This window comes from Homo sapiens, chromosome 15 (assembly GCF_000001405.40).
Source record: "Homo sapiens chromosome 15, GRCh38.p14 Primary Assembly".
NCBI classification, from domain to species: Eukaryota; Metazoa; Chordata; class Mammalia; order Primates; family Hominidae; genus Homo; species Homo sapiens.
Genome location: NC_000015.10, coordinates 22,071,791 through 22,097,345, shown reverse-complemented (window position 1 = coordinate 22,097,345; position 25,555 = coordinate 22,071,791). Strand labels below are relative to the sequence as shown.

At 35.8% G+C, this 25,555-nt stretch overlaps 2 protein-coding genes and 1 long non-coding RNA gene across 4 annotated transcripts in view, besides 1 other annotated feature; all 3 read right to left on the bottom strand.

Moving 5' to 3' along the window:
* Positions 1-1,483: 1,483 nt before the first annotated feature.
* Positions 1,484-2,824, bottom strand: OR4N4 (olfactory receptor family 4 subfamily N member 4). The gene has a single exon (NM_001005241.4). The coding sequence runs from the start codon at positions 2,822-2,824 to the stop codon at positions 1,874-1,876; it is 951 nt and encodes a 316-aa protein (NP_001005241.2). The 3' UTR covers positions 1,484-1,873.
* OR4M2-OT1 (OR4M2 overlapping transcript 1) overlaps positions 1,728-25,555 on the bottom strand; it is a 105,539-nt gene continuing 81,711 nt past the window's right edge. For both annotated transcript variants that reach the window (NR_110480.2, NR_110481.2), the window contains 2 exons: positions 2,555-2,833; positions 1,728-1,995 (listed from right to left, as the gene is read on the bottom strand). This is a non-coding gene — a long non-coding RNA (OR4M2 overlapping transcript 1). The remainder of the gene's footprint in view (positions 1,996-2,554; positions 2,834-25,555) is intronic.
* Positions 1,997-3,196: an enhancer, noted in NCBI's record as "BRD4-independent group 4 enhancer chr15:22382101-22383300 (GRCh37/hg19 assembly coordinates)". NCBI's record gives its function as "activates an origin of replication core promoter dependent on BRD2, P300/CBP, MED14 and CDK7 cofactors, and independent of BRD4, by STARR-seq in HCT116 cells {active_cell/tissue: HCT116}" and the evidence as "EXISTENCE:reporter gene assay evidence [ECO:0000049][PMID:35650434]".
* On the bottom strand, positions 15,736-16,819 carry OR4M2 (olfactory receptor family 4 subfamily M member 2). The gene has a single exon (NM_001004719.2). The coding sequence runs from the start codon at positions 16,719-16,721 to the stop codon at positions 15,780-15,782; it is 942 nt and encodes a 313-aa protein (NP_001004719.2). The 5' UTR covers positions 16,722-16,819; the 3' UTR covers positions 15,736-15,779.

The window sequence follows — 25,555 nt, the reverse complement described above, 5'->3', positions numbered from 1 at the left end:
CCTCCAAGATTGCAAACTTTTTATCCTATATTTTACCACCATTTTTGTTTGCTTTCTGAAGAAGCTGTCAACACACAGACAGGTTTGTCAAAGACTTTTGCCACTACCATTACAGATTCTATCAAATATACTCATACAAAATTTAATTTAGAAAAAATAATTAGAGAGACAATAACATGAGAGGTGCTCTCTACAATTCTCTTCATGCCAGACCATGGCTGATTGATGTGTTCCCTGAGCCAAGAGCTGGGAAAGTGGTTTCTTGTCCTCTCAGTCTCCTGGTTATGGCAGGGATAGGTCACTTAGCAGGTTAGTTCTACAGTGTTTTTCTGGTAACAATTTCTATAATAGATGCCCAGCATAAATAATGGTCTTCTATACTTGAAAAATTTTATAAGTACCTAATTTCTCACATTAGACCCCACTATTAATACAGGAGTTATTAAGAAATTATTTTTAGGCAGCTAGAAAGGGTAAAAGAGTCCTCAGAAAGGCTTTTCCTTTTAATAAAAAAGCAGCCCCCAAACCATTTCTTTTCTAACAGAAAGCAGCCTGAAAAGCCATGCTGGAAGCATAGGTATGTAAATTACAGGCTTGCAGAAGTAAATGCAGGTGGCTAACAGCCAGGTCCACTCAATATGACTCTTCCCGCTCACTTTCCTTTGTTGCCACATGTGCAGTTGTCATGGCACCAGCCAAGTAAAGCCACATGTGCAGGCATCATGGTGACAGCCAGGTAGAAGCCGCATTTGCAGAATAAAAGATTAGGGTGGGAGGGCCAGTCTTTTCATGGGTTGTGTGAATGACACACCTGGTCAAAGGAATCCCCTGGGCCCTATGCAAATCAGACACTACCTCCCTGAGCCTCCCAATATAACTGACTGCTTTCCCCACAAGTGGGGTTACTCCATTCAGAGTGCTTCTCCCTCTGTATGGGGAAGCTCTTCTCTTCCTTCTTGCCTAATAAACTTTCTGTTCCTTAACCCACTCCGTGTGTGAGTCTGTGTCATTAATCGGCACAGCACAAGACAACGAACTGCAGGTATTTCCCCAGACAACGAAGCTGCTTCACTATGTTGAAAATAACTGGAGTGATTTATGTAATCTGTAATACAATCTGAAGTACTAAATATCTAATAATGTCTAATAATCATCGTGAAGCTCTGAAGAAAAAATAAGTGAAATAATTTCATGACATTTTACCATGAAACAAATTGGCTTCCTTTCTTATCTCGCCACCAAATTTTGGGGGGGAAATATATATTTATTTATATATTGATTAAATATATAAAAATATATATTTATAAATATATAAAAATATATATTTATAAATATATAAAAATATATTACTTATTTTATATATATGTAAATATACATATATATAAAATATATATAAAAACATTAAAATATATATAATTTTAATATATTTATATATATAAAATACTATAGTCTTTTTCATAACATACTTGCAACATACATTTGGTTTTTGATATTTTACAGTTTATTAATCTCTGCCTAAAATCTTGCTGATGTTGCTCTAACCAGTAGAGGAAAGCATTGTAGATGAACTGCTCCTTTGCTTAAAACATTAAAATGGGTTCTTACCACAATTAAAATATGAAAAAATTCTTACCTCAGACCGAAAGACCCTTGCAGTCACATAAAACTTAACCCTTAAATTTCTCACACTTACTCATTATACTTCAACCACTCTGGGGTTTCCTTTATATTCTTTAAATATAATAAGTTTATTCTCTCATTATGCATAACTCTCCTCCATTGCCTACAATGGTACCTGGCAAATGGGAGGTACTCAGTGAAAAACAGGACTTGTTAAATGAATGATATGAATTCCAGCCAGAATTCCTCCTTCTCAGTTTCTTATTATAAAATCCACTTGACAGACTACATGTCGACTCAATAACCTCTTCATGGAAGTTTTCACTTCCTGGTTGCGAAGGGTATAAATCATAGGATTCATCAATGGAAAGATCACTGTGTGAAAGAGAGAAACCATCTTGTCAGCTGGTAAGGCCCTGAAAGGGCACATGTAGATGAAGATAGCAGGTCCAAACATAAGAAGTATAATAATGACACGAGTGGTGCACGTGGACATGGCCTTGTTCTTCCCTTCAGAAGCTGCCCTACGAACATGGCAGAGGATGACTGCATAGGAAGCCAGAAGCCCCAGAAAGCACAGGAGTGTCATCAGGCCACTGTTGAAGACCATTAGAAGCTCCACCACAAACATGTCGGTGCAAGCCAGCTTGATGACCTGTCGGACATCACAGAAGAAGTTGTCCAGCTGGTTTGGGCCACAAAAAGGCAAGCGGAGGATGAGGACCACCTGGATAATGGAGTGGACAAAACCCCCAAGCCACAGAGCCAACATCATTGCATAGCAGGCTCTAGGGTTCATGACAGTTGAACAGTGCAGAGGCCGGCAGATGGCGATGTAGCGGTCAAAGGCCATCACAACAAGGAGTAATCCCTCCCCTCCTCCAAGGAAGTGCAAGAAAAAGAGCTGAGTGATGCAGCCTCTGTAGGAGATTACCTTTTTCTCAGAGAGGAAGTCCACCAACATCCTGGGAGCCACAATGAAGGAGTAGGATGCATCCAGGAAGGCCAAGTTGCCCAGAAATAAATAGAGGGGGGCTGTGAGCCCAGGGTCTGACCTTATGGTGAAAATAATGAGAAAATTTCCAGGGAGGATGATAAGGTAGAAAATTAAGATCAGCACAAAGACCAAGAGCTGAATATCTTGAGACTGAGTCAGACCAAGGAGGATAAATTCTGTCACTACTGTGTTGTTTGCTATCTTCATTTCTTCTGCCTGTAGAATATCAATAAAAGAGTTTATTTTCAGGTGTTACATCTAGATTATAGTTCTTGAACTAAACACAAGGTATGCCACATTTATATTATTCTATCTATCTCAACAACCTAAGAAATCACTTCTACTGTTTATGCTTCCTCATTTCATGATAGCCAACACCCTGGTCCTGAAGCCACACTCTTTCTTCTGTTTCAGTCCTGTGCTTCTGTTTAAGTGTTCACTCATGTGAGACTTGGATGTTACTGCTCTGAATTTGTTCCTGATTTGTATGAGGCATATGAAAATTTTTCTGACTGAGAAAAAACTTAACCCCAGTTATTGAGGACTTCATGTTTTGCTTTGAATGGAAGATGAGCTGGGATTGACAGCAAAGAAGAATGACAGAACTTTTCAAGGGGACAGAAATGTTCCGTTTTTAATTATAATGGTTATATGTATCTATTTTTGTCAAAATTTATTGAGTATTGAACTATACAGCAATTAGTACAATTTATTTTATATAAATGCTACCTTAGGAATGTTTATCTAAAAACTTTTATAAAGGCAACTGTACTTACCAGAAATAATTCCCTTTTCTCTATAGAACATCAACCAAATGAACTGGTCTAAATAAAAAGCTCTCAGTCACTCTGGAGAAAACAAGATCTGAGGCTTCTCTGTACAGTGGCTTCCAAATTGAGACTGTGCTCATGCTTGGGGATGTGCATGATAATTTATTGGTATGAAAGCAATAATAGGAGAATTTCTACACTTACATTATTGTATCCTATTGTTTGAAGTTTTATTTTTGAACATTTTACATTTATATAGAATCATGATGTAATTGGATATGAAATGCATAAAGAAGATACGTATGTTTTTGGTGCATGTTCAAAAAATGGTTTGTGGTTGAAATAAAAAAATTTAAAAGCTAAAGATCTTGAGCTAGAACAAAATACTACAATGTGATACAGAAAAATATTTCATATGCTTCTGTTACACAGCACATTTGTTTTAAAATAATGTGGACTATGAAGCGTAGAGGGAAAGAGGTTCATTAACTAACTGAATGAGGAGTCGGTGTGTAAGAAGAGAGGGAAACAAAAACAATAAAGTCCCGAATTAAGAAATCAAAGAAAATATTTATAATGGCACATCTATTTAAAACATCAAAAGATATGCTTTTCAAAATATATCTAATCCTAATATATTAATTAATAGCAGAGGTTTTCAGGTATGGTCAGAATTGGGAATTATGAAAGAAGTACCTAGGCCAGGCACTGTGGCCCACACCTGTAATCCCACCCTTTTTGGAGGCCAAAGCAGGTGGATCACTTGAGGCCAAGAGTTCGAGACCAGCCTGGCAAAACCCTGACTCTACTAAAAATATAAAAATTAGCTGGGCGTGGTGGCAGGAGCCTGTAGTCCCAGCTACTTCAGAGGCTGAAGCATGAGAGTCGCTTGAACCTGGGAGGTGGAGGTTGCAGTGAGTCCATATTGTACCACTGCACTCCAGCCTGGGTGACAGAGCAAGACTCTGTCTCAAACAGAAAAAAGTATCTTACATCACATGTATGTACATCACACAGACACAAATAAATACACGCAAACACACGTATCCTAACCAAAACAGAAGCATAAAATTTTACATATGATACCCTTCTTCTTTTCTTTTTTTTTTTTTTTGGCACTTGGCCATTTATTGACCTTAATATTTATCAGTCTTTCTGTGCATATAAAACCTGCTAATAGAAAAGTCGGGAATCCCTCTCTGCTTACTCTTAAGTTGTGTACATCTTGCATGTTATTATGCAGTTGGTTATTTCATACTCTTTCAAAAATTGAGGATGTATTTGGGTCATAGAAGAAACTTTCAAGTATCTCTGAGATTGGGAGTTTCAGGTTCTTGCACTGTACCTTGCATTTTATTCCCTGTTATCCACTTCTGTTCTCCTACTGACTCTGTAACATCTGGAACCCTCTACCATCAAATATCTTTGATTCACTGTGTTCCCTTTGTGTGCTTCCCTCTAAGCTCTTTTGTTATATGGATAGTGCTCACATCATGCTCATTATGGATCCAGAAACCAAATATATATATTCATAAGGTGGACATTCCTCTAGGTAAAATGAAGTAAGTCCTAGCAAAATAAAAGCACAGAAATTCCTGCAAAGACAAGCTTGGTCTTGTCTAACTATATTAGAAGAACATAACAATGTTAGAAGGATCACTGTCAGTGGAAGCTGAAATAGAAATCTGAATGACTGCCACTCCCTCTATCCTATATTTCAATTTCAACAGAAACAAAATTTCATCTGTTCCTGACAATGCTGGAGCAGCACAGAAGAGGAAAGAGTGATGGGTGGGGGCACACACACATTCCAGATAAAGGCTGCGCTATGCACTGTTCACGTTTAGAGTCCAGGCTCTTGTTAAAAAGTTCATGGAGCAGGTATTTGGAGATTTGATTCCCATCCACAGGCACTAATTCACTCATTTTTCTTTATATTTCCTCATGCCTCCTTTTAAAATATTTATTTTATTATCTTCCCCTCCCATCTCGCTAAATATTTCTACACTTCATTTTTTAAGTTATACTTTTACTTAAGTTGGTTTCTCTTTCTCTATTTTATCTTCTCTTTCTCTCTCGTATTTGTTCTCTAATGATTCCCCTTGCTTTTCTCTTATCTCTTCTATTTTTTCTCCTTTGTTGTTTTTACTTCTCAATGTTCTTGCAGTTTCCAATATTTTTCCACTCTCTCTTCTTCTCTATTCATTTCTCCTTTATTAGATCTCATGTTTGCCTTCCCATTAATTCTGAGAAGCATCACTATTGTTTTCTTTTGAAACAGTAGTAAGGACAGCACATGAAGTTTCTTCACTCCAATTTTTGTAAGGGTTAAAAATACCTAACCCATCTTTCAGTACTAAATTACTTTCCTTGAATAGTATCCTACTTAAAATATACTGTGTAAATACTTTTAAATTATTTCCCATTACCTCAAATATTTTGTCTGTTTATAACTGATCTTAATAAAAGTGGCACTATTCACCTTTCTGCTTGAAAGAAATTTCTCATTAATCCACCCTACCAGCAAAAACACATTTTAGAAATGTTCCCAAAATAAGAATAAGAATGTGATGTCTATTAATATGTGCTATCTAATTTGTAACCCATAACCTATATAATCATTAATTTTTTGTGTGTTCTGAGAAATGTGGATAAAGTTAGAGTATCATCAAATCATTAACTGATACCAATGTTTATAATGCCATGATTTCTAGGCAAAGTAATGGATGTCATTTAAAAAGCCCTCGTTTGGGCATCTATCTGGGTTTAAGTTCTTCATTGTGCAATTTTTTTAACCGTGAGATCTTGGGAAGGTCATCTTCCTTAGCCTGAGTTATTTTATCTCACTGTGTTGATTTATGAATATAATATGAGAATGATAGCAATAAGTAGCATATTGAAGTCTGACTAAACCAAAACTAAACAAGGAAAAAATGTAGATATTAAGAGGGGCTTTAGTTTCTAAGAAGTAAATATATAATATAGATCCTCTGTCCCTGCCTTTGAAATGAGTTGCTGGGGTAAAGGTAGCTATGTTAATGTAAGAAATTACTAGAAAAGAATTTATGAAGGCTTCATTTCAGCCAGCTGTCAAAGCCCCAGATTGGTATATGGTAAGACTCTTTGTAAAAGAACCTCTCATCCCAGCAGGTGTGGGAACTAGACAGAGCTAGTCTCCTGCAAAATCGTGAAGTTGGTGAAGATTTCTTCTGCAGCCTAGCATTTCTGCATTGGATATGACTTCTGTTCCCTCACGTCTTTCAGTTAATAGCTATAGGTTTAGGACCAAGTATAAACATTCCCAAGGCAATGTTAATAAAGGCTTTATATATTCCCAATAAATTAATTCTAAATATTAGGAGAAACTGGGGCTATATTATTAAGACCAGGTAAAAGGTGCTACTGTATTACTGAATTCAGATTAAACATATTAATCTATTTCTAGTTTGAAACCCATAACCTATATAATCACTATAATTCTGATCTTTGCATTTCAAGGCAGCAGATGTCCCACCTGAGGTGTTACAATATGTTTCCATTTCTTCCTTATGTTCCTTATAAATATGGAGAATGGAAAAACATTTACCTCTCTAGTAATCTAATGCTCCTGTCAAACAGCAGATATCACCTCCTTCTAATAGAAGGAACAATAACTAATTTTTCCTGACTTCATTGTTAAATATCTCTTCTCACAGAGGAATCTCTTATGCAACCAATTTGTGATGCAATGGAGAATGTACTTTGGGAATTTGAAGGCTAACAAAGCTGCAAACACTTTCAAAGGGAATTGTTAAAATGCCAACAAAATATAGTCAAAGAATGAGACTAGAAACATGTTATATATAAATAGTGAAGTATATATGATTTAAAAGTCACTATGTTACTTCTAAGTTTTAAAATCAACATTCTATCAGTGACACATATTACAGAATAGTCAGCATGTTTACTAGGTCCATGTGGGCAGAAAGCCAAAAGAGGTTATTTTATTTCTTACGTTACTATTTTTTTTAAAAAAGTGTATAATAGGAAATCATTGATAGATCAAGAAAAGAAGTAATGTGGTCAGGTAGGTAGTATGGTAAATTCAACATATTTCTGATGACAAAGAAATAGGCAAAGAAAAATAAATGATGTTCACAAAGACTCTTTGACATAATCCTTCTTGGAGACGAGAACTGCATATTGAAGGACTAATTCCTCACAAAGAGATGTATTCTTAAATACACCCTATTGTGGTCTTGGCCTTTGTTGTTTTCATTTTAGGAATAAGTGTCTCCTATGTTCCACTAAAGCAAAGACAACTATTTTTTTAAGTAAATATTACTAGACAGAAGAAAAGTAATTAAGAATCACATAGTAGAACACAATATAATTAAATTTCAGTAGATTTATTTTTATTTTAAAAAGATTTTTTATTTTAAAAATTAATAAACAGTTTTTCAACAAATATAATGCATAATCAATAATATTTTGTTCTAATTTATGTCCAATTCAGAAAATAATAAGTGGGAAAAATGGAACATGGGGAAAAGAGAAAAAGGGAGAAAGAGATACACAAAATCATAAAGGTAAAAAAACCGGGGGGGAGAAATGCAAGAACAGGAACAAATGCAAAGACAGTAATGGAATAATAGGAAATAAAAAGCCAGGCACAAAAATGCATATTTTGTAAAACTATATACACCAAATAAACTAAAAAGTGCAGTGTTTACTTTCTTAAAAGAAACAGAAAAGAAGTGATATAAGTAAAGAAACACATGGAAAAACATTCCCATTTTTGAGTATATTATAGTCTTTCTTGCTACCAAAGATTTTTTAAAATATGATTTTTTCATAATTGTAGACATAGTTAGGGACTTTGCTTCCTAATGTTTTCCACAATACTTAAAGTGAAGATAGTCTAATGATCTAAATTAATCCTTAGAATGAAGGCTTGTTATTCCTGCTAGGAAAGATTTGTCTCCCTAGACTATCTTAGAAACTAAAACCATGTACCAGGCTGTATTGTAGTGTCTGCAATGCAGCACCGAACAAGACAGAAAATATCCCTGTTCCTGGGGATTTTACATCCTAAAGCATGGAAACAGACAACAAACAAACATACCAGAGAGAAAACAACTGATTGTAATGAGCACTATGATAAAAATATAAGAGAAAGCGGAAGAGACTACTATTCCAAGTGAGCTGGCCAGGGAGGGCCTTTCTGACAAGGTGGCAACATTTCAACTAAGATCTGAATGACAGAACTACACCGTCTCTGGGAAGATCTGAAGATAGACTTGTTGAAAGCTCATTAAGGGAGAGACTGGTGCATTGAGAAGCAGAAAGGAGGCTAGTGTGGCAAGACAGTAGTGAGCAAATGGAAAAAATTGTAAGGGAAGATAGAGAGGTAGAGCCAATATGGGCCAAATGGCAATCGGTCAACATACTATGTGTGAGATGTAACAGGCAGAGGAGTGTTCCTACCTGATTTACATGTTTAAAATGTTGTGCCAGGTACTAAGTGAAAAACGGGCTATAAAATGCAAGAAGTGGAGGCAAGGGAAACAGTAGGGAGCATTTGAAGAACTATTAATATAAATAAGAGATGTTGGTAGGTTAGGATAAGAGGTAAAAAAGAAGACAGAAGAATTTATACCAAAGATAAACTTTGGAGAGATAATCAATGGGACTTATTGAAGGACTGCATATGAGAGGTATGGAAGCAAGAATAACTCAGAATTTTTAATGGCATTACCATAAGGTTGGAAATTAGGCAGTGTACTTTAAATATACTTGACTTTAAAAATGTATTTAATTTTTGAATAGGTAATATATTTACATTTTTAAATAAAAAATAATTCATACAGTGAGAAATTTCCTTCTTATATCTGTCCCCTATATGTCCATTTCACCCCATACCTCAAAATTGGAAGCTAATATTAATTTTTGTATCCTTCAAGAAATTTATCTGTATTTACAAGCAAGCATGAAAATAAATTCTTGGTTGTATTTCTTAGAATACAATGTATATACATTAAAATACACACATTTAAGTGTTCAACGTAGTAACTTCTGTTAAATATATGCACTTTAGAAACTAGTATTCTAAACAAGATAAAGAATATTTCCGTCACTCCAGAAAGGTTTCTTGTGATCTTTGCCATCCACCCCCACCATCTAACATCATAATGAGCTTTCATCTTTTAATTCCTAATAGCATAGATTAGTTTTACCTTTTCTTGGATTTTATAAAAACAGAAGCATATGACATGTGTTATTTTGTATCTGGCTTTTAAACTCAGCATTACGATTTAGAGATTCATGCGTATTGTTGCATTTTCTGTAGTTGTTTCTTTTTACTGCGGACTAATGTTTCATTATATACTTAACCCTAAGTTTGTTTATTATCATTTTATCCTTTTATGGACATTTGGGTTGTTTCAAATCTTAGGCCACCAATAAGGTTTTCATTAGCATGCGAATTTAAATCATTTCATAGACATGTCTTAGCTAAACACGAATGGGATTATCAGGTCATAAGGTAGCTGTTTGTTTACATCTACCTGAAATTACCTGAAGTTTCTATTAAGTTTTTCAGAGTGGTTAGCCATTGTAAATTCCCAACATCAATGTATGAGAGTTCAAGTTATTCCAACAATTAATTCACCAACATTTGGTGTTGTGTTTTACTTATGCCATTATATTTTCTGCATTTCTAATGCTTTAATGTCTTGTGCCTTCCTAACACTGGAGGAACTATCCCTCTTATGGCTAGCCAATTCCTAGAGATGGTAAAAGCCTCACTTGCAACCAATCTAGAAACCATACTCCAGCCGCTTCTTTTATCAGGCACCTATAGCGCTATTACACTCCAGGCCACTATTTGCCTTCCCTAATCACCCCAGGGCCAAGTGCCAGACACTTAGAGACAGCCCCTATCCTCCAGAGCCCACTGGAATTATTCAATCTAGCCAATCCTAAACCTGTTTATCCTGCCCCATCCATCTATTTCCACAGAAACCATGATAAAGGCTCTTACCCACATTTTTCTCATTTCCCCACTCACCTAACCAACCTCTTATTTCTAGGGATTTGTGAGTCTAAAAACTTCTTCCTTCATGACAGTCATTTCCATGACAGTGTGTCTTACCATTCCTGATTAAAATAAATACCGGGCACCTTTAAAACAGTGCAGCAGACAAGAACTACATCTTGATGGCAGCTACATTGTTTTTGTCAGTAGTTGCCACAGGCTCCCAACATAAAATTGTGGAGCTCGGAAAGCTGAGTCCTCCCAGCGCTGCTGCATAGTCTAGAGTGTCAAGTGCCTGGGACTGAGCACCTGGAGGCACTCAATATATTTCTTCATGTTGGTAGAGCATCCGGAGTCCAGGAGAGAGCACGTGAGGGTGAGGATGTATTGGTAATTGGCTATATCAGTTTCTAGAAAGATTCGTCCGAAGGGGATGAGAACTGACTGCCTTCCTAGTGCCATGGATGAATCTGGCCCACTGACCAGGCAGCACTAACAAGCAATGGGGAAACTGAGTCATTTTTATGGACGTGTCTAGTCTCCAGTATGTTATATGTTCCTGGGGCACTTGATAAACCCCTTCCTCTTTTCCTTCTCTGCTATTTTGTTCTGTTCCTCAGAGTAGTGGGAGAGCGCTCTGCCTGAACACTTGATCGTGTGTTGTGGACCATTCCCTGCTGAGTAATGACGTGCATCTTTTCGTGAACTTGCTGATCACTTCTGTATCTTCTTTTCTGGAGTGTCTGTTCAAATTTTTTGCTGATTTTTCTTTACTTGAAGACAGAGAGAAACAGGGAGATTAAGAGAGACCAAATTTTCCTCCCAGTGTATGATTTCCTTAATAATTTGATGATAGTGTATCTTGACGAGCAGTAATTTTTAATTTTTTGAGGTTCATTTGATCACTTTTTATTATTACACCTGCTTTTGTGCTGCTTAAGATATCATTGCTTATTCCAATTGTGTAAGCAAATATATTATTCTGTGTTTTCTTCTAGATACTTTATATTTCTAGTTACTACATTTAGGAGTATAATCCAGCTCTGAAGATGCTCTTATTTGATTATATTTTCACTGAGATAAAAACTCTTTTCTCTTGTCATAATATAACTCTTCACTGGTTTACTTTTTTGTTGTTAAGGAAAAGAGATCAGCCGGGTCCCGTGGCTCATGCCTGTCCCAGCACTTTGGGAGGCCGAGGCAGGTGTATCATTTGAGGCCAGGAGTTCAAGACCATCCTGGCCAACATAGCAAAACCCCTTCTGTACTAAATATACAAAAATTACTCGAGCATGGTGGCATGGACCTGTAATCCCAGCTACTCAAGAAGCTGAAGCAGGAGAACTGCTTGAACCCGGGAGGCGAAGACTTTAATGAACCGAGATCGAGCCACTGCCCTGGAGCCTGGGATACAGAGTGAGACTCTGCTTAAAAAAAAAAAAGAAAGAAAGAAAAGGAAAAAAAAAGGAAAGAAGGAAGGAAGGAAACCAGTGAGATATTATCCTGACTGCCTTTCCCTTGAAGACGATCTCTGTTTTCAACGTCTGCTTAGTAGTCTTTATAGTTTAATAAGCCTAATACTAGATTAAATACAGTAGCCCCCTCTTACCCACAGTGTTGCTTTCTGTAGTTTCTGTTGTCCATGGTCAACTTCAGTCCAAAAAATGTTAAATGGAACATTCCAGCAGCAAACAATTCATAAGCTTTAAATTATGCCCCATTCTAAGTAGCAGGATGAAATCTCAAGCTGTCCTTCTCCATCCTTCCAGGGACATGAGTCATCCCTTTGTCCAGTGTATCCATGTTATACATGCCACCTGCACGTTATCACTTAGTAGCCACCTTGGTTATCAGTTAGACACAGCATCACAGTGCTTGTGTTCAAGTAATCCTTATTCTATTTAATAATGGCCCCAAAGTGCAAGAGTAGTAATGTTGGCATATTGTTGTAATTGTTCTATTCTATTATTGGTTGTTATAAATCTGTTACTGTGCCTAATTTATGAATTAAACTTTATCATAGGCATATATGTATAAGAAAAACATGGTATATATAGGGTTTGGTACTATCCATGGTTTCAGGCATCCACAGGTGTCTTGGAACATATCTCCTATGGATAAAAGAGGACTACTGTGTATATATATATATATATATATATATATACATATATATGTGTGTGTATATCTATATACATATATATGTGTGTATATCTATATACATATATATGTGTGTGTATATATATATGTATATATATATGTGTGTGTGTGTGTCAGAAACCCAGCCTTTTGTCCTAGTCACATGTTTGACTGTAATTTGTTCTCTGATAATTTCATCAAAGAGGTCTTAAAAACAACATTCACAGATTTTTGTTGCATATTTAAAACTTTGTGGCCTGTTTATTTAAATGCCAGTTTTGTGGGATATAAAATCTGAGGGTTATACTTATTTATGTAAGCATGTTGTAGCTTGTCTTCACCTGGACCTCTATTTAATGGTAATTATATTTTGGAACAATGCATGATAGGCCAACTGGTCTGCTTCCAATGGAGTTGGAGGGGTGAGACTTTATAAACTTTGTTGAAGAAAATCCCTGAGAAAAGAGATTGCCAGTGATACTTGTTTTGTTCTTTATATATTCATATGTTTTTAACTTTTAATGAATATATATTATTTTAGTAATTAAAAAAACAGAAGAACTTTAATTTTGTTTGAGCAATAAAGCTCTCTTTTAACCAGATATAATAATACAATTCTGGTTAATATTGAGATTAGCAAAAAGCCAGAAGATGAATGGGACTTGGGTTCTAAAGTTTCACACAAGTCAGTGTATAATTGAAAGTATAATCACAATACTGAGCTAAAGATAATATACTCAACCGAGATATTGCTGATTTTAAACATAGTAGCTCAGCAGCAGTTTTGAAAGAAAGAGGAGTAGGAGAGACTGAAAGAAAAAAAAAGAGATTAAAAGACATTTAAAAGTAACTGAAAGAAAATATAGGAGTTATATAGGGAAAAGGAGTCCTGAAGCATATTTTGTATTTGACTGCTGAGGATCCTGAGCTATTTGGAAACAATATTCAATGAGACAAGATTGCATATGAGGTTAACACCTATTTCTTCTACACTAACCTGCCTTATCCCTGCCCATTATTTAAGTCAGAGTTTCTCAACCTGATGGAGTTCTTTATTCTTGGCACTATTGACATTTTGGGCCAGATAATCCATGTGGGAGTCAGGGGCTGGGGGCTGTCCTGTGCATTGTAAGATGTCTAAACAGTACAAGATGCCAATATATGTCCTCAGTTGTGACCACCAAAAATGTCTCTGGGCACTTCCAAATGTCCTCCAAGGGGTGAAATTGCTCTCAGTCCTTATTCCAATTATGGCCTCCATGAATCAGGCTCAGTTATTACTTACTAGAGTTTGCCAAAAGTTCCCCTTTTCTTCATTGATATTAGTTTCTAATTTCAGATAATATTCTTAAGTAAGCAATTAGTTATCACACTATTTTTATGCCTTTTTCCTTTGTATTACTAGCTTCAGTATTTTCAGTGAATATCTTTCTATATAGTACAGTGTGCTGGTGTTTGAAGAGCATATCAAATCAGTGGTCCCTTTCCCAAGAGCATCAGCCCTAGTTTGATGAAAGATAAGTGACAAAATGAATAGAAGTCTGGCTAGACCAAATATAGAGAAATGACAGTAAGATGATAAAAGATTTAGAAACGTAACTCATCATTTTATCATATTATATATATATATCTTTTGTACTCTATATTTTTTCATGCTGTGTTACAAAATGTTAGAGAAGTCTACTGCTTTATTCACTTCCAGGTGATGAGAAGTCAAGTCAAAAATCAGGACTTATAACGTCAATCTGTGCCTTTGGGTTCCTAGAAGAGAAGCAACATAGCATTGAAGATCGAAGAAGGTCACCATAAGGAAAAATTCCCAAAGCAAAAAACAAGCTTTGTGTACCACCATTCCATCCTGTGCATCTGAGATACACTGGGTCTGGCACAAATTACCTCCTCAATTAATAAATAATATATCTGTAAATAAATAGTAACTCTAGGAATAGTTATACCATTTGTTTCTATATATTCATTCCCAATGTTGACAAGGATCTAATTCACTTAAAATTTAGTCCATATTACATTATCAAATTTAAAAAAGAAGACTAAAGATTAATATACCCAATGCATTCTTGCCCTTCAATGAAAAGATTCCCTAGTTTTGAAATTAAAAACTAATAAATTTAAGTAAAAACATAACCTATAAAATCAAATGTTCTAATCTACCTCTTACATTCTGAAGCTTGGAGAGTGAGTTTTTAGTGCTTGAGAATAGGAAATCAGTCCCTAATAATTCTCTAAGGGATCATGGGAACCAATACGTCTAGGTCTGTCAATGGGAAAGAACTCTGAATTAAGCACTAACAAAAACAGCACTCTACCAATTTAAGTTTAACATGAGAGGCAGAATTAGCAATTATGGAAAACATACAAAAGTGGCAAAGGAGATGATAGTTTAGAAAAAAATTACACGGCTAGATGTCTACCAATCCCAGTCAACCTAGAAGCTTTCTCCCCAAGGCTGCTTTCACTCTGAAGGATGTAAGTAGGGACTGGCTACAAAAATTGCTAGTTGCCTGGAGGCTTCATCTGGAATGACATGAATCTCATGTATCAGCCAAATTATACTCTGCTTTGAATTCATAAAAATTGTTTTCATAATGTGATAAAATTTTGAGTTCTGTCTCCAAACTGTTGAATAGACACCACCTGAAATATAAACTGAAATACCTTTATAAGGTATTTCAGTTTATAAGTTGATGGAAAATCCTCATTTTCCATCAACTCTGGAAATAAGAGGAGATAAAGGACAAATAATCTGTTTTTCCAGACCCAGCAAGATGTTGACCAGATACCATTCCACTGAGCCAACACTGAAACATGACAACAATATTTATTTGCTAACTTGAAGCTAGCTGCATCCATATGCTTGCCATTTACTTCATATTTGTAATAGACACGTCTCATGTCTTATTTATTTTTCTCAACATGTTCCCGTCAAAGCCAGAGCCTCTGCAGAGTACTCAATAAACAATTAGTTAAAATGTACTTTAGCAGATTATTATATCTCAAATTCTAATAATGATCTGTTGGGAATTTCAGGGTAGGTGTGAGTAAATTTATTTTCATCTTAATGCCTCTATTTTTTCAATATAAAGAGGAATGAATAGAGAAAAATTATAGTAAAATTTTAATAACACAAATGAAAGGAGGAAGTCAATGCAGCATTATTACTGCAAATACTTCCTGCTTTAGGACAATGATCCTCAGGGGAACTATAAAATGTATAATTTATCTTTCACTTCTCTTTACACAAAATATATTTGGTGACCAACTTCCTCATGGCTGCCTTTACTTCCTTGTTTCTCAATGTGTAAATAATGGGATTACGTAAAGGGAATATTAAAGTATTGAACACAGACACCACTTTATCTAGGGAAAACGAGTCAAATGGGCGAGCATAAATGTAGATGGATGGCCCAAACATTAGCACCACAATGGTAATGTGGGAATAGCAGGTGGACATGGCCCTGTTGGTATTCTCACCTGAGCCTGAAAGTTTCTTGAACAAGGCCAGAAGGAAGGCATAGGACATTAACAGAGCAATCAAACACACCACAGAGATCAGACCACTACTACAGATCATCACTAACTCCTCTGGGAAGGTGTTGGCACAGGCAATCCGGACAACCTGTGTGATGTCACAGAAGTAACTGTCTAACTCATTGGGCCCACAGAAAGGAAGTCGAACAATGAGAGCCACCTGTATGATAGAATGAATGAAGCCCCCCCTCCAGGAGAGAGCCACCAGGATACAGCAGAGACGTTGATTCATGATGGTAGCATAGTGGAGGGGTCGGCAGATAGCAGTGTAGAGGTCAAAGGCCATCACTGTGAGCAAGAACATCTCCGAAGCCCCAGCAAAGTGTAAGAAGAAGAGCTGTGCAATGCATCCATCAAAAGAAATTATCTTCCTCTCCACAAAGAAGTCTATGAGCATTTCAGGGGCTGTAATGGAAGAGTACCAAATATCAAGGAAGGCCAGATTAGCCAACAGGAAATACATAGGAGAGGTCAGATGAGGGTCTAGACTGATGGTGCAAATGATAAGGATATTTCCTGGTAGGATGAACAAATAGAAGGATAGAAATATAACAAATAGGACTAGTTGGACCTCTGGAGTCTGGGATAGGCCAGTGAGAACAAATTCTGTCACCTTGGTGTAATTTGCAGTTTCCATTTCTTCAATTTACTCTTTTCATAATATAGCTATGAAAATTAAGAAACTATAATTAGTAGACATAGCATTTACCTAGAGTTATATCACTGCTTTCAAAATTGTCATACGTTCCCTGTCACTAACAGATTACACGAGGATACATTTGGTTGCCCATTTTATATCTGATAAACCAAGAGGGAGAGAGTATGTGATGAAGTTACAAATTGGAAACATTAAAACTATATGAAGTGTGGCATATATTTGAAACTCAAATCTCAGCTTGTTAATGTTAAAAACTTACTTTTTCTGAAATTTGGCAATGCACTACTTCTTCCCCCAAACATCTACATTAGTAAGCAATATGTGAAGCTACTTCTGAGTGTAGCCAAATTTTAGACTGGCAATCAGAGATGTGGCCTCTTTTTTCTATATCTTTTTTTTTGTTGGGAAATCTTGCCAACTTGGAAACTTAGGCTTGCATTCTAATAGCACACACACAGATCTAGCAGTACTTTAGTTGTGATACAGAAAAGAGATCCCAAGGCTTCATAAGTAGTGAAGGGACATATTTTTCCGTAACTGTAACCAAAACCTGTACAGCTTAATCCTTGGTAACAGGTAACCAGCCACAACATACAGCTATGCAAGGCCCTATATAAAAAATTCTTCTAGCTGTGACCAGATTCATCAATACCTGATACTACATTGAGTATAAAATTTGCTCACCACAGCAGGAACGTAAGTAGGTGTACTGATCTGAGAAATGAGTATGCTTGCTACCCAATTTGATTCTGAGCTGATCTGCTCTGCTGTTTCAAGGTGACAATGGGAATAATATTATTTTTAAAATTTTGCTTACTGCCCTGTATTGAATCTGACACCACTAATAGCACAAAACTTGTCAAATAAAAATGAAATAACAGTTCACATTACCAAATATGCTTTTCTTTAAGTAAGGTTAAAAACTGCCACACCAAAGTAAGTTTTGTTGTAACCAACAGCAAATACAAGAGAGTTGTTTCTTTTCTGTTGATGTGATATTTTATGATATTGCCTCTCCTATTACTTAAAAAAATTAAATATGAAAAGGAATTTTTAAAAAGTTAAGGTTCTGTAAAACCAAATAGACGTGGCTGTGTCCAAACACTTATGGGCACTATGTATACTACTGAGAAAAGAAATTAAATGCGCCATTTTTGGAACCTACTGACTCAATTTACACATAATTTTAACAAACATAGATAAATGACTTTCAATATCTTATAGAAGCATTGTATTTTGAAAAAGGGATGGCTTACTACAAGCAGACACACACACATAAAACCAGTGTTTTCCAGGAATCTGGTAGCAAGCGGAAGAAAGGTAAAAATACTCAGAAATTGAATAGTGTGGGACTATTTAGAAAAGGGATCAATTTCCCCTTGTCCATAAATTGCCCAGTGTGGACCTCAGTGAGTTAATGAAGCATATTTAATAAGATTGAAAAATTTAAAATTTGGTTTAGGAAGATTTTAATCAAAAGAAAGATAATAAGGTTATCCAGAATGAAATATTTCCTAACATTCCAAGAAACAATGATCTTATTGTACTTACCTGGAGGAGGCAGCTCATAGCCCTCATAACTAATAACACAACATTGTGTTATTAGTTATGAGGGCTATGAGCTAGTTATATACTAACTCATTTACATTCACTGATAAGTCAACTATGAGGTTCCAACAATCAAATAAATTTCTAACAAAAGCATCTGAAATATTATGATTACTCAGCTCATTTACATATTTTGCTATAATGCTATGTAGTTTTTGACCAGATGGAAGCGATTATTTGTTCCTAAGTAAATAATTGTCCCTTTATTATTGAAAGGAGATGAATATTTTAAAGCAGTAAATACCATTACAAGATCATATGCTTTTTTATTATTATGGGGACATGATGCAATGATTCTGAGTGTCATCACACAAATCACCCCTTCTTCCTCTGCTCTACTCCATACCCATTCCACCAAAACAGAAGTAGAAAATGGCACTAATCTAGAAAGAATTTATGTGAATGAGTGTTGATGTCTTGAAAAGACAGACATACATCAGGTATTATGGAATAGAAAGGGTGATTTTACCAGAAAAAAGTGTCAAAGAGATTTTCTTTTGTACCTCAGTGTTCAACATATGACATAAAATTAGAAACTAATGATGTATATACTTTGCATTAAGAACCAAAATCAACCACATTTATTCCTTAGGACAAAAATACAAAGGATTCATCCCTCCACACTCCTTGATGAGTGTCTCTGTCCTCCACCCTTCACAAGTGTCAAGTGGAAAAGAAATATTTTGCTGGAGCATCTCAATCCAATAGTCAGGCAGCCAATCAAACCCCCTACTCCCAAAGCTAGTAATGCTCAGCCACTACTCATCACACACACACACACACACACACACACACACACACACACACACCACTACACCATGTCACTTCAAGGAAGAACAAGCACCTAGTTTCCCTACATTAACATAACCATTACCTAAAATACCATAAATGACGCAACAATTCTTATTCTGTCCAGCACTTGTCATTTAACACATGTCAAAACAAAGCTATCTACATGTGATATTAAAAAGTCTATTCCTAAATATATAGCTTCTGTGTCACTTCTGTAAACTATTCATTTGTTTATCCCACAAACATTTAGAGAGTATCTACTATATGCTACCTGCTGAGACACAACAATGAACAAGGAACACTCAATATCTGCCTCATCAAACTTCCATTCTGAAAATATAGACAGACAATAAATAAGTAAACAAATAAAAATAAAATAAAATATAAATAAGTAAAATAAAATAATTGCTACTAGTGCTAAAAGACAAGCAGGAAATAAAAAGGCAATGGTAGAGTAAATAATGATGGGAGTGGTATGTGTGTGATGGAGTATTTTAGAAAAGGTTCTGAGTTGGTGACGTTTTTCTAACTTTGAAAGTTTGAAGAAAAGCATTTTAGGAATAGAGAATAGTAAATGAAAAGGCCTTGTGTCATGAAAGACTTTCTAAGAACTGTAGAAGACCCACAACTGGTAGAAGCATAAGAACAAAATAAAGAGTTAGTCAAAGACCAAGTAATGTAGCCCACAATAATAAAATTGGATTTCCAATTTTCTTTCAATATGTTTTACAATAAAACTCGGGAGAATAGCTTAATACAATTTGCAATTTAGAAATATCACCCTGGCTGCTATGTGAATAAATCAGAGTAAGACAACATTACAAGAATATATATATATATATATATATATATATATATATATATATATATATATATGGCTTAAACTAACAATACAGCAATAACTATTTGAAGAGAATAATAATTTGTTTAGAAAATATTTAGGAGATGCAACTCCAGGGTTTATCAATGGATCATATGTTGCTATTGTCATAGTACCAAAGGCAGCTGGAATTTGAACTCCACAATGGCAATTTAAAAATATTGTTTTCCTATCTTCTGTGTCTAAAATGAGGTTCATCCAGCCCATACCACGTCCTTAATAAAATTGGGCTAAATAAACTATACATACTTGGGTATGCACTGTAACACCCCAAGAAAAGCTGGGAATTGTACCAAAAAAACCCAAAGCAAGCAATTATGTTTATGGGAAATTCTTGGGGGAGATAAGCCACTCATGAAGATTGACTTAGGGCATTTTTTTCTAAGGTTGCCATTGAGGAGGGGATGACTATTCCAAATCAGTCCTTACTCTTAGAGCAGTGGTTGGATAAGTTCCTTAAGAAGATTTACTTCATCTTACATCCACCCACCTACTCCTCCTAAGCTTCTGCTCCTCTTTTAACAACATCTAGAAAATTCCCATTCTTAATCTACAGGGATGTAGTACCTAGAGGATGACTATGGAAATACCTAGGAGTACAGGTGCATTCCCTGTCGGTGAGTGAACTGTGAAATCTTCTCAAGAGAAGCAATGCTTTGGGAGAAAACAAGAATCTGCGTGATGTTGAGGTCGTGAGATCTTCCTCTATGACAGTTTCTTCATAGCAAAAGGAGGGATTTTAACTAGAATTTTAAGAAATGTTCTACCTCTAAAATCCTATGATTCCGTTAAAGTAAAAGTAGGTTGAGAGTAAAATTCTCAGAAAGGTAAATTAAGAATGATTTGGGTAGCAATAGGGAGAAACAGTGATATCATCACCATTGTGGATATATACAACACTTAGAAAGAATGCAAATTAATTTTCCTATTTTTAGGATATGGAGCTCACTTATTCTGTGGGATGGTGAGGAAGGAGTATACAGAAGCATCTTCACCATATAGATGGGTATAGGTAGCCAAGGGACCTCGAGTGTCATAAATAAACCAGTAGCAGAAAATATCAAGATGTAGTTATTACATTGATTTTCTGTATGCATTGTTGCCCACAGTAAACTAGGCAAGAAGAAACCATTAGGATAAGAGAAGGGCTGATCTCAATGAGACTATTTTGAAGATCATTTGCTGCTTATTTCTCTTTTAATATACTTTAATATATTATTATATTTAATAATACACTTTAATGTTATTAAAGTATATTAAAATATATAGTATATACATTAACATTATTAAAGTATATTAAAATACTTATTTTATATACAACTATTAATATATTCTTTTAATTTACTTGAATATATTAAAGTATATTAAAATATTTTATATATAATATAAATTATATATAAATATGTATATATCATATATTTACATATATTACATATTTATATATTATATATATTTGCAGCTTATTTCTCTTTTAATATACTTAGATATGGGGTGTCAGTGCTATCAACTGAAGAATGATGGGGTTCATAAATTTGGAAAGGAGGACCTTTATTTCTCATAGAGTTGTAGCCTGAAGGGTGGCTATTATGACAGGCTGGGAAATATAGCCTCTGGCCAGGAGCCAGAAACAAACATTTCGAGACAGTGTCAAAAGGAATATGTACTGAGTGAGGTGGCCAAATACATATGCTCAATAAGCTATAGGAGGAATCTTGAATATTTATGAAAGGACAACCATGCACATGCACAATTGTGCTTCATGCCCCTTCATGAGTAGCATATAGTTGGTCTCTTATCAGGAAGGAATGCTGGTTAATTGCCATGTTAAAACCACAAAAAAAGAGGGACTGCTTCAGTGATTTGTTGATATCAGCAGTGGAGTCTTTCAAAAGAGCTGGTTTCTATTTAGCACTTAGGTAGGAAAGTCTAATGGTAGTTAAGTGAGGGCGGGGATGTAAGAAGGCACCTCTGACCGCCCATCTTGTCATGGATGAAAACTCAGCTTTTAAGGTTACTCTGGGGTGCCCTTGGCCAAGAGAGGGTCCATTCAGTAGCTTGGGGAGCTAAGGGTTTCATTTTTATTTTATTTCTCAGTGCCTTCATTCTAACCACAGCTAAGCACTTACTAGCTGTGTAATCCTGGGCAACTCACTTACCTCTGCCTCAGTGTGCCTCATTAGTGCAATGGAAATAATAACAGTACCTACTTCACAGGTATTGTAGTGATTAATGCATATAATGCTCCCCACATTTTTCCCAGACCCACAGTCCTGTTACATTGTTGATGTATCACTATTTTTAAATCCTTCAGCTATTCTCAGAAGCTTGTTTTCTAAAATGCCTGAAATTTTGTATGAATTTTGTATATATAAGTTCCATAAAAATGTCATATTTTTATGGCTCCCATAATAGTACTGTTTACACCTCCAGTACAAATTTTAACTCATTACATTATAATTTTTCAGTTTGTATTTTGCAAAATATAACAGGAACTCTGAGCTCCTTGAGGTCATGGAGTATGTCTCATTTATATATCTACTGCCTAAAGTAGTTCCTAGCATGTTATGGTCTTCAATATGTGTTTGTTAAATGGATGGATGGATGGGATGATTACATAGATTTTTTATTGAATAAATAGATCAGTAGACTTTGACAAAAATTAAACACCACAACATCTAATTGTTTTTATTAATTCATTTCTTCTTTCCCTACTCTGCTACATAATTCCTAATTTTGCTTTTTGGAATCCTTTTTGTTAAAATACATATTTCACCCACATTTATTTCAAGTAAGAGTCTCTTTGCTTTTAAGTTTCTTTTTTGCTTTTCTATTTATTTTCAAAGTTTTTGCTACTACTAACACTAATCCCTTTGAAATGAAATATTTCAAGCCTCACCTTTCCCTTCCTCTTCACAGAGATCATCCTGAAGAACTATAAGAAGTAACTACCATGCCTATTCCAAAATTGACCACATAGTTGGAAGTAAAGCTCTCCTCAGCAAATGTAAAAGAACAGAAATTATAACAAACTATCTCTCAGACCACAGTGCAATCAAACTAGAACTCAGGATTAAGAATCTCACTCAAAGCCGCTCAACTACATGGAAACTGAACAACCTGCTCCTGAATGACTATTGGGTACATAACGAAATGAAGGCAGAAATAAAGATGTTCTTTGAAACCAACGAGAACAAAGACACAACATACCAGAATCTCTGGGACGCATTCAAAGCAGTGTGTAGAGGGAAATTTATAGCACTAAATGCCCACAAGAGAAAGCAGGAAAGATCCAAAATTGACACCCTAACATCACAATTAAAAGAACTAGAAAAGCAAGAGCAAACACATTCAAAAGCTAGCAGAAGGCAAGAAATAACTAAAATCAGAGCAGAACTGAAGGAAATAGAGACACAAAAAACCCTTCAAAAAATCAACGAATCCAGGAGCTGGTTTTTTGAAAGGATCAACAAAATTGATAGACTGCTAGCAAGACTAATAAAGAAAAAAAGAGAGAAGAATCAAATAGACACAATAAAAAATGATAAAGGGGATATCACCACTGATCCCACAGACATACAAACTACCATCAGAGAATACTACAAACACCTCTACGCAAATAAACTAGAAAATCTAGAAGAAATGGATAAATTCCTCGACACATACACTCTCCCAAGACTAAACCAGGAAGAAGTTGAATCTCTGAATAGACCAACAACAGGAGCTGAAATTGTGGCAATAATCAATAGCTTACCAACCAAAAGGAGTCCAGGACCAGATGGATTCACAGCCGAATTCTACCAGAGGTACAAGGAAGAACTGGTACCATTCCTTCTGAAACTATTCCAATCAATAGAAAAAGAGGGAATCCTCCCTAACTCATTTTATGAGGCCAGCATCATTCTGATACCAAAGCTGGGCAGAGACACAACCAAAAAAGAGAATTTTAGACCAATATCCTTGATGAACATTGAGGCAAAAATCCTCAATAAAATACTGGCAAACCGAATCCAGCAGCACATCAAAAAGCTTATCCACCATGATCAAGGGGGCTTCATCCCTGGGATGCAAGGCTGGTTCAGTATACGCAAATCAATAAATGTAATCCAGCATATAAACAGAACCAAAGACAAAAACCACATGATTATCTCAATAGATGCAGAAAAAGCCTTTGACAAAATTCAACAACCCTTCATGCTAAAAACTCTCAAGAAATTAGGTATTGATGGGACGTATTTCAAAATAATAAGAGCTATCTATGACAAACCCACAGCCAATATCATACTGAATGGGCAAAAACTGGAAGCATTCCCTTTGAAAACTGGCACAAGACAGGGATGCCCTCTCTCACCACTCCTATTCAACATAGTGTTGGAAGTTCTGGCCAGGGCAATTAGGCAAGAGAAGGAAATAAAGGGTATCCAATTAGGAAAAGAGGAAGTCAAATTGTCCCTGTTTGCAGACGACATGATTGTATATCTAGAAAACCCCATTGTCTCAGCCCAAAATCTCCTTAAGCTGATAAGCAACTTCAGCAAAGTCTCAGGATACAAAATCAATGTACAAAAATCACAAGCATTCTTATACACCAACAACAGACAAACAGAGAGCCAAACCATGAGTGAACTCCCATTCACAATTGCTTCAAAGAGAATAAAATACCTAGGAATCCAACTTACAAGGGATGTGAAGGACCTCTTCAAGGAGAACTACAAACCACTGCTCAAGGAAATAAAAGAGGATACAAACAAATGGAAGAACATTTCATGCTCATGGGTAGGAAGAATCAATATTGTGAAAATGGCCATACTGCCCAAGGTAATTTACAGATTCAATGCCATCCCCATCAAGCTACCAATGACTTTCTTCACAGAATTGGAAAAAACTACTTTAAAGTTCATATGGAACCAAAAAAGAGCCCGCATTGCCAAGTCAATCCTAAGCCAAAAGAACAAAGCTGGAGGCATCACACTACCTGACTTCAAACTATGCTACAAGGCTACAGTAACCAAAACAGCATGGTATTGGTACCAAAACAGAGATATAGATCAATGGAACAGAACAGAGCCCTCAGAAATAATGCCGCGTACCTACAACTATCTGATCTTTGACAAACCTGAGAAAAACAAGCAATGGGGAAAGGATTCCCTATTTAATAAATGGTGCTGGGAAAACTGGCTAGCCATATGTAGGAAGCTGAAACTGGATCCCTTCCTTACACCTTATACAAAAATCAATTCAAGATGGATTAAAGATTTAAACGTTAGACCTAAAACCATAAAAACCCTAGAAGAAAACCTAGGCATGACCATTCAGGACATAGGCATGGGCAAGGACTTCATGTCCAAAACACCAAAAGCAATGGCAACAAAAGCCAAAATTGACAAATGGGATCTAATTAAACTAAAGAGCTTCTGCACAGCAAAAGAAACTACCATCAGAGTGAACAGGCAACCTACAAAATGGGAGAAAATTTTCGCAACCTACTCATCTGACAAAGGGCTAATATCCAGAATCTACAATGAACTCAAACAAA